This window comes from Homo sapiens, chromosome 1, assembly GCF_000001405.40.
Source record: "Homo sapiens chromosome 1, GRCh38.p14 Primary Assembly".
NCBI classification, from domain to species: domain Eukaryota; kingdom Metazoa; phylum Chordata; class Mammalia; order Primates; family Hominidae; genus Homo; species Homo sapiens.
In genome coordinates this window covers 21,961,896-21,970,030 of record NC_000001.11, presented here as the reverse complement: position 1 = coordinate 21,970,030, position 8,135 = coordinate 21,961,896, and the positions used below count along the sequence as shown (strand labels likewise).

At 49.8% G+C, this 8,135-nt stretch overlaps 2 annotated features.

Annotated features, from left to right (window-relative positions):
* Positions 5,720–5,987: a silencer, noted in NCBI's record as "fragment chr1:22290537-22290804 (GRCh37/hg19 assembly coordinates)". NCBI's record gives its function as "represses an EF-1alpha promoter that drives an FKBP-Casp9 reporter gene in an ReSE screen in HepG2 liver carcinoma cells {active_cell/tissue: HepG2}" and the evidence as "EXISTENCE:reporter gene assay evidence [ECO:0000049][PMID:32094911]".
* Positions 7,472–8,135: an enhancer, noted in NCBI's record as "H3K27ac-H3K4me1 hESC enhancer chr1:22288389-22289052 (GRCh37/hg19 assembly coordinates)". NCBI's record gives its function as "activates a minimal SCP1, AML or CMV promoter by ChIP-STARR-seq in naive H9 embryonic stem cells {active_cell/tissue: H9 hESC(naive)}" and the evidence as "EXISTENCE:reporter gene assay evidence [ECO:0000049][PMID:30033119]".

The following is an 8,135-nucleotide window of genomic DNA, read 5'->3' as shown; positions in this document are numbered from 1 at the left end:
GGCATTAAAAGTGATGGCAAAAACTGCAATTACGCTTTTACACCAATCTAAAAATAGAGCATGAAATGGCTCCTCCAGGACAACCACATTCCAGATGAAGAAAAGGGAAGGGGATAACTTCACCTTTACATGGTCAACCTGAAATTTGTAGGCATCTCTTCTGCCACAGCCAGAAATCAGCGCACGGCCTCACCTGGCTTCCTGGGAGACAGGCAAGCGTGGTTTCCATTCTGCACAGCCCCTGGACACAATAAAAAGTCCTCTTAACAAGCAGGGTACAGTGGCTTATGCCTGTAATCCCAGCACTTTGGGAGGTCGAGGCGGGCAGATCACGAGGTCAGGAGTTCGAGACCAGCCTGGCCCAAATGGTGAAACTCTGTCTCTTCTAAAAATACAAAAATTAGCCAGAGGTGGTGGTGTGCACCTGTAGTCCCAGCTTCTTGGGAGGCTGAGGCTGCAGAATTGCTTGAACCTTGGAGGCAGAGGTTGCAATGAGGTTGCGCCACTGCACTCCAGCCTGTGTGACACAGCAAGACTCTGTCTCAAAAAAAAAAAAAGAAAAAGAAAAAGAAAAGAAAAGAAAGGGAGAGCCAATATTGGGGACAGCCACAGGTCTCTGCCACAAAATACAAATATTTTCAGTTGCAAGCAACAGGACACTCTGCCTAAGTGAAACAATTAGGATTTTTTTTTGGAGACAAGTCTCACTCTGTCGCCCAGGCTGGGGTGCAGTGGCATGATGGGAGCTCATTGCAGCCTCAACCTTCCTGACTCAGGCAATCCTCCCACCTCAGCCTGCCGAGTCGCTGGGACTGCAGGCACGCTCCACCACACCCAGCTAATTTTAAAATATTTTTTGTAGAGAGAAGGTTTTGCCATGTTGCCCAGGCTGGTCTCAAACTATTGAGGTCAAGTGATCTGCCTGACTCGGCCTACCAAAGTGCTGGGATTACAGATCTGAGCCAGCAGGCCCGGCCACAAATAGGAAATGTACAATCTCACAGGACTTCACTTTAAGTGGAGAGGCAGGGGAGCCAAAGAGAGGTGCACCCCAGCTCAGGCTTAGGATTTCTGCCGTTCCACTGGCTCTGCCCCACACCGGCTGCTGGCTTCCTCCTCAGGATGGAAGTCTGCCTTTGTCAGTCAGAGTCAAACCAGAAAACAGAAATCTCAAGTATTTGAAGTACAGGGAATTTAATCTGGGGAATTGGCTGCCTAGGTGAGGGAGGTGCAGAGAAGCCAGCAGGGAAGATGTGGGAACCCAGAGAGTAGTACAGCTCCCTCCCAAGATGGTAGGACAGAGAGAGGAGATGCTGGTAGCTGGAGCCCAGGAGCAGAGGTCACCTCGCCAAAGCTGGGCCCAGCCCAGGCACGTCTGGTGGGAGCCGTGGAGGAAGTGTAGGGAGAGAAGTACCTTTTGGAGGACAGGAGGGAGGTTTCTCTCTCCCTCCGGCCTTTCAATCTCCCACCGGAAGTGGGAGAAGCCTGCTGTCATAGGTGCCTGGGAAATCCAGCCTGCCCCTGCCCAGCCACAATACAGCAAGGAATAAATTTAAGGACTGGAGCTTCTCTGGGATGGGAGCAGAGAAGCGGGGCTGGAGATTCCTGCAGGGCAGGCACACAAGGCCACAGGAGGCCTTTGAAGGGTTTTCCACAGGAGAACATGATCCAGCTTATGTCTTGAAGCATGTCTCTGGCTGCTGAGTGGGAAACGGTTTGAAGAGGAGCCAGAATGCCATCAGGGAGGCTAGTGTGGGTTCTGCAGAGGTTCTCCAGGTAACCAGGGTGGGGGCAGTGGAGGAGCGGATGGGCTGAGGTCGAAGGAGGTTTTCAAGAAAGACAAAATCTGAGTCCAGGTGCAGTGGCTCACACCTGTAATCCTAGCACTTTGGGAGGCTGAGGTAGGTGGATCACTTGAGCCTGGGAGTTCAAGACCAGCCTGGGCAATGGGGTGAAACCCCATCTCTACAAAAAAATACAAAAATTAGCTGGGCATGGTAGCATGCACCTGTAGTCCCAGCTACTTGGGAGGTTGAGGTGCGAGGATCACTTGAGCCCGGGAGGTCAAGGCTGCAGTGAGCAGTGATGGGGCCACTGTACTCCAGCCGGACAACAGAGCGAGACTGCGTAGAAAAAAAATTTTTTTAAAGAAATTCAGAAGTATTTGGCTTTGAAAAATAAATGAACAAATACAATTTCTTTTCTTTTCTTCTTCTTTTTTTTTTTTTTTTTTTGGAGAGGAGGTCCTTTCTGTTGTGCAGGCTGGAGTGCAGTGGTGCAATCTCAGCTCACTGCAACCTCCGCCTCCCAGGTTGAAGCAATTCTTCCACCTCAGCCTCCTGAGTAGCTGGGATTACGGGCATGCGCCACCATGCTCAGCTAATTTTTTGTATTTTTATTAGAGATGGGATTTCGCCATGTTGGCCAGTCTGGTCTCGAACTCCTGACCTCAAGTGACCCACCTGCCTCAGCCTCCCAAAGTGCTGGGATTACAGGCATGAGTCACAGTGCCCAGCCATAAATACAATAACCTTTTTAAAGGAAAATTTAGTACTTTGTTGATTTAAAGAAAATTATCCTTGGTATTTTAGTGTGGAAATACATCAAAGCATGACTGTAACTGTCTCAAAAGCGGATATTGTGATGTGGTATCAGGACACCTGGACATCCTGCCATCATAGGAGTTTGCCTTGCAGGAATTACTAAACCGCTTCCTTCGCCAGAAACATCTCATGGCCGTGAGTTGTGACTGGCTAGGAGCGTGTCTTGTTAGTTTGAAGATGCAGTTCATTTTATTATTTTATTATTTTATTTTATTTTTTGGGACAGAGTGTCACTCTGTCACCCAAGCAGGAGTGTAGTGGCATGATCTCAGCTCACTGCAAACTCTGCCTCTCAGGTTCAAGCGATTCTCCTGCCTCAGCCTTCCGAGTAGCTAGAATTACAGGCGCCCGCCACCACACCCGACTAATTTTTGTATTTTTAGTAGAGAGGGCATTTCTGCATGTTGGCCAGGCTGGTCTCGACCTCCTGACCTCAGATGATCCACCCGCCTTGGCCTCCCAAAGTGCTGAGATTATAGGCGTGAGCCACTGCACCCAGCCACAGCTTATTTTAAAATGGTGTCAGCCTGACTCTCTTATTCTCTGTTTCCCTAACAGTGTCACCGTGGACCCGGGCTCTTGCCATCTTTGCACTCTGCCAACCTCAGTGTGTTGCCCGCCCCGGGCTGCCTCCTTCATCTCCCAGGAGAAGACTCTGAGGCAGGATTCGAGCGCAAGTGATTTATGTGGGAGGAGATCCCAAGAAGCATGTGTAGGGGAGTGGGGAAGTGAGACAGGGAGGAGAGGGAAGCCAGAACAGGGGACGTTCATGGACAACTGGCACCAGATCCCACTAGGGAGCTCAGAGTCAAAGCCTCAGAGCTGCTCCATCTGAGGTGAGAATGCTGCCCATGCGCCTCCATGCATGTACTCAGTGAACACCTAGTGTGCGCAGGTAAGGACTACTCACACGCACTTCTCCATAGCACCAGAGCATGCCTGTAGGCAGATAGCCTGTTGCATGGCAAGAGTGACATCATCATGAAATGAAACTGCCATGATGACCGATGTCTGACTCCAGCATACCACAGTGTTTTGCAGCAATTTTATTACTTTTTTAAGACAAAGTCTCGCTCTGTCACCCAGGCTGGAATGCAGTGGTGCAATCACTGCAGCCTTGACCCCCCCAGACTCAAGTGATCCTCCCACCTTAGCCTCCCGAGTAGCTGGGACTATAGACACACACCATCACACCTGGCTAATTAAAGAAAAAAAAAATTTGAGGCCAGGCACAGTGGCTCACGCCTGTAATCCCAGCACTTTAGGAGGCCGAGGCAGGCAGATCACCTGAGGTTGGGAGTTCGAGACCAGCCTGGCCAACATGGAGAAACTCCGTCTCTACTAAAAATACAAAATTAGCTGGGCATGGTGGCATATGCCTGCAATCCCAGCTACTTGGGAGGCTGAAGCGGGAGAATCACTTGAACCCTGGAGGCAGAGGTTGCAGTGAGCTGAGATCGCGCCATTGCACTCCAGTCTGGGCAACAAGAGCAAAACTCTGTCTCAAAAAAAAAAAAAAATTTGTACATACAGGGTGTTACTGTCACATAGTGCTGGGATTTAGGCATGAGTCACCTGCCTGACCAGCAAGTTCTTAAATTCTGCAGCAAGTTCTTAAGACAATGGCTGTAGCATAGATAACCCTTCATAAAAACGCTAATCACGATGCTGGGACGGTGGCTCACGCCTGTAATCCCAGCACTTTGGGAGGCCGAGGTGGGCAGATCATGAGATCAGGAGATCGAGACCATCCTGGCTAACACGGTGAAACCCCGACTCTACTAAAAATACAAAAAAATTAGCCGGGCATGGTGGTGGGCGCCTGTAGTCCCAGCTACTCGGGAGGCTGAGGCAGGAGAATGGCGTGAATCTGGGAGGCAGAGCTTGTAGTGAGCTAAGATCACGCCACTGCACTCTAGCCTGAGCAACAGAGCGAGACTCTGTCTCAAAAAAAAAAAAACGCTAATCACGGCCGGGGCGTTGTCTCTCACACCTGTAATCCCAGCACTTTGGTAGGCTGAGGCAGGTGGATCCTGAGGTCAAGAGATCGAGACCATCCTGGCCAACATGATGAAACCCCGTCTCCACTAAAAATACAAAATTAGCCAGGCATGGTTGTGGGCACCTGTAATCCCAGCTACTCGGGAGGCTGAGGCAGGAGAATCGCTTGAACCCGGGAGGCAGAGGTTGCAGTGAGCCGAGATTGTGTCACTGCACTCCAGCCTGGTGACAGAGTGAGATTCCATCTCAAAAAAAAAAAAAAAATGCTAATCTGGACTCCCCAGTGGTCAAGAGCTTCAGAATATCTGAGGCATGACCAGCTGCACATGTCTTTACCCTAAAAGCTTGCTATAAAAATAATGTTTTCTGGAAGGTAGGTGCAGGGGTGCACCATCTTGCAATTGCTTGACGGTGTCGCTATGGATAGATCTCAAAAGCACTTTATTGAGTAAATGAATTTGCAACTTCTGTTTGCAAGTCCCTATTTTCTTTCTGATAAACTGCACTTGTCAGCCTCTTTCTTTGGCCTCTCAGCTCCCTCGGTCTTTGGTGGTGGTTTGCATAGGCCTGCTCACCGCAGGACAATGATACACAAGCACAAACTCAGAATGTGCACCCAGGCACCCCCGTGTACAGACCCCTCCCGTGTACAGCACTGGTGCACACACATCCATGATGCACACACACATTCCAGAGCACCCATCCCGTCCCCCCTTCCCAGTACAACAAACATACATCTGTCACTGCTTCTTACTCTGGCCTTTGGCTTGGGCCTGACAAAGCCTAGGGCATTAGGCCGGGCACAGTGGCTCACACCTGTCATCCCAGCACTTTGGGAGGCTGAGATGGGTGGATCACTTTTGAGACCTGCCTAGCCAATATGGTGAAACCCCATCTCTGCTAAAAAATACAAAAATTAGCCAGGCATGGTGGCACACACCTGTAGTCCCAGCTACTGGGGAGGCTGAAGCAGGAGAATCACTTGAACCCGGGAGGCGGAGGTTGCAGTGAGCCAAGATGGAGCCACTGCACTCCAGCCTGAGCAACAGAGTGAGATTGGTCTCAAAAAAAAAACCAAACAACAACAAACAAAAGGGTAGGGCACTAAACATTTATGACAAGGACTGCACTCTTAGAAACTCCTAGAATGGAACTGCTGGCAGAAGTTGCAGTGCACCAGGAGTTTGTGGGGAGCCAGGGCAGCACCTTCCTAGGGTCACACTTGGACTCTCCAGCCTAGGATGCAACATCCCAAGTTACCAGCAAGGGGCGCCCGAGAGCCATGATTGCCTCCAGGTGTTTTCTAGGAAGTTGCTAGGTGTGAGGGTGTGTTTGTCTCTGGGTGCGTCTGAGGGACAGGGCAGATCTCAGAGCCTCCTCTTAGGGGTTGAGTTGAGTGTGGTGGACGCACTCACCACCAATTCTGGGGACTGCCTCACTCAGGTTCCAATGCCCTGGCACAGAGCTGGTGCTCAGTTTGTGTTAGATGAGTGGATGAATTAACAAGTGAATGAATGGATGACTGGGGAATGAGGAGATAGGACAGAACTCAAGAGAAAGAAGGTAAAAAGAGAAGGATGGACCCCAGAGATCAGAGGGGAGCTGGAAGAAAGAGAAATGCAGGGAATGGCAGGGAGGAGTCAAGGGGTCGATGAGTGATTTGGGGGCAGGGGCTCAGTCGGCCAGCCTCCAAGCCTTGGCCCAAATGTCTCCCTCCCAGATGCCTCCCACTGCTGCCCTCTTCAATATTCATCTTTCTAGGCTGGTTGGGACTGTCACCTCCCCCAGGAAGCCCTCCCTGAGCACCTCTCCGTTGGGACCCGTCCTTCCTGCCTTTGTGCTTCCACAGCTCTGCGGCATCGTACCAGGGACCCTCTGCTCTGGTTGAAATGTGGGAAGTTGTATCAGACAGACGTAGATTTGGTTTGAATTCCTGTTCAACCATAATTGTGTGATCTTTTTCAAGACACCTAACCTCTCTCTGTGTTTTTTTTTTTTTTTTTTTTTTTTGAGACGGAGTCTCGCTCTGTCACCCAGGCTGTAGTGCAGTGGCACAATCTCAGTTCACTGCAACCTCTGCCTCCCAGGTTCAAGCGATTCTCCTGCCTCAGCCTCCCAAGTAGCTGAGATTACAGATATGCACCACCATGCCCAGCTAATTTTTGTATTTTTATTAGAGATGGGGGTGTCACCATGTTGGCCAGGCTGGTCTCGAACTCCTGGCCTCAAGTGATCCACCTACCTCAGTCTCCCAAAGTGCTGGGATTACACGTGTGAGCCACTGCACCCAGACTGAGACGCTTAACCTCTCTGTGCCTCAGTTTCTTCACCTAGGGTAACACCAATAGCTCCCTCACAAGGTTTCTGTGAGAATTCAAGGAGATAAAGCACTGAACACTGGGCTTGGCCCATAGGAAACACTGAACACAGGGCAGCAATGATTGCTTTCCTGTCCCAGAGAGTCCCAATCTTAAGTGCTCCGTCCCATTGTCAAGTCGTTTGCTGTAGTTTGGGCTCATAACATATTGTCATCAGAGCCTGTAGTGAATACCCCGGCTCAATGAATATGTGCTCCCTGATAACACTCATCTGTAATTCATTTTTTTTTGACATGTATGAGAATATTCATTTCAGTGTTGCTTGAAATAATGAAACATAATTGGAAACAACTTAAAAGTATGCATATTGACAGGAGAATGGATGAATTGGGTATATATAGAATGCAATGTTAAGCAGTGAAAATGATTAAATTAGAGTCATATGTGTCGCTATGGATAGATCTCAGAAGCATTTTATTGAGTAAAAAAGCAAATTACAGAATAATGCATTCAGTATAATGTCATAGTATGTAAAACATTTGAATCCATGCAGACCAATGCTATGCCATATACAGCAATGTGTAGGAATAGAATAAATACACGTAGCAAAGATAATCAGAGATTAGATGGTGCCACCCTCCAAGAAGAAGGGGTGTGAAGTTGGCCAGGGCTTCAGCTGTATCTGGAAGCTTAACTTGTTTTGAGTTCCTTGAATATGGTAAAGGAAGAGAATTCATGTGAGACCTTCTCTATTTTAATCCCTAAGCGTGAAATAGGATGAAGCAACTGAGGCTCAGGGAGGCGTGGCAAAGTGCCCATGCTTTCCCAGACACTGAGAAGTAGAGGTGGGAACTGAACCCAGAGCTCCTGACCCCAGCACCTTCCCTGCCAGGGCAGGCTGCTTGGAACTGCTGGTGGTGGTTTCAGAGGCAAAGACTGTCCCCAAGTTGCTACAGCAGAGCAGCTCTGCCAGGCTGAGCAAGAAGGGTGGGCTTTTTGGTCCACTGGGTCCAGGCAGGGCTCAGCCCATGCCCGGTAGGAGCTTGGGTCCAGGCCAAGCCCAAGGAAGGTTTCCGGCCTTAAGGTCTGTTTCCTGGCACTCTCCTGGTGGAGTCAGAGGTCAGGGCTGGAGCCAGGCTTGGGCAGGGTCTCCACTGCAGGAAGTGGAGGCCTCTGAGCCTCTGAGCCTCCAATCCAGTTACCCTTTACTCCT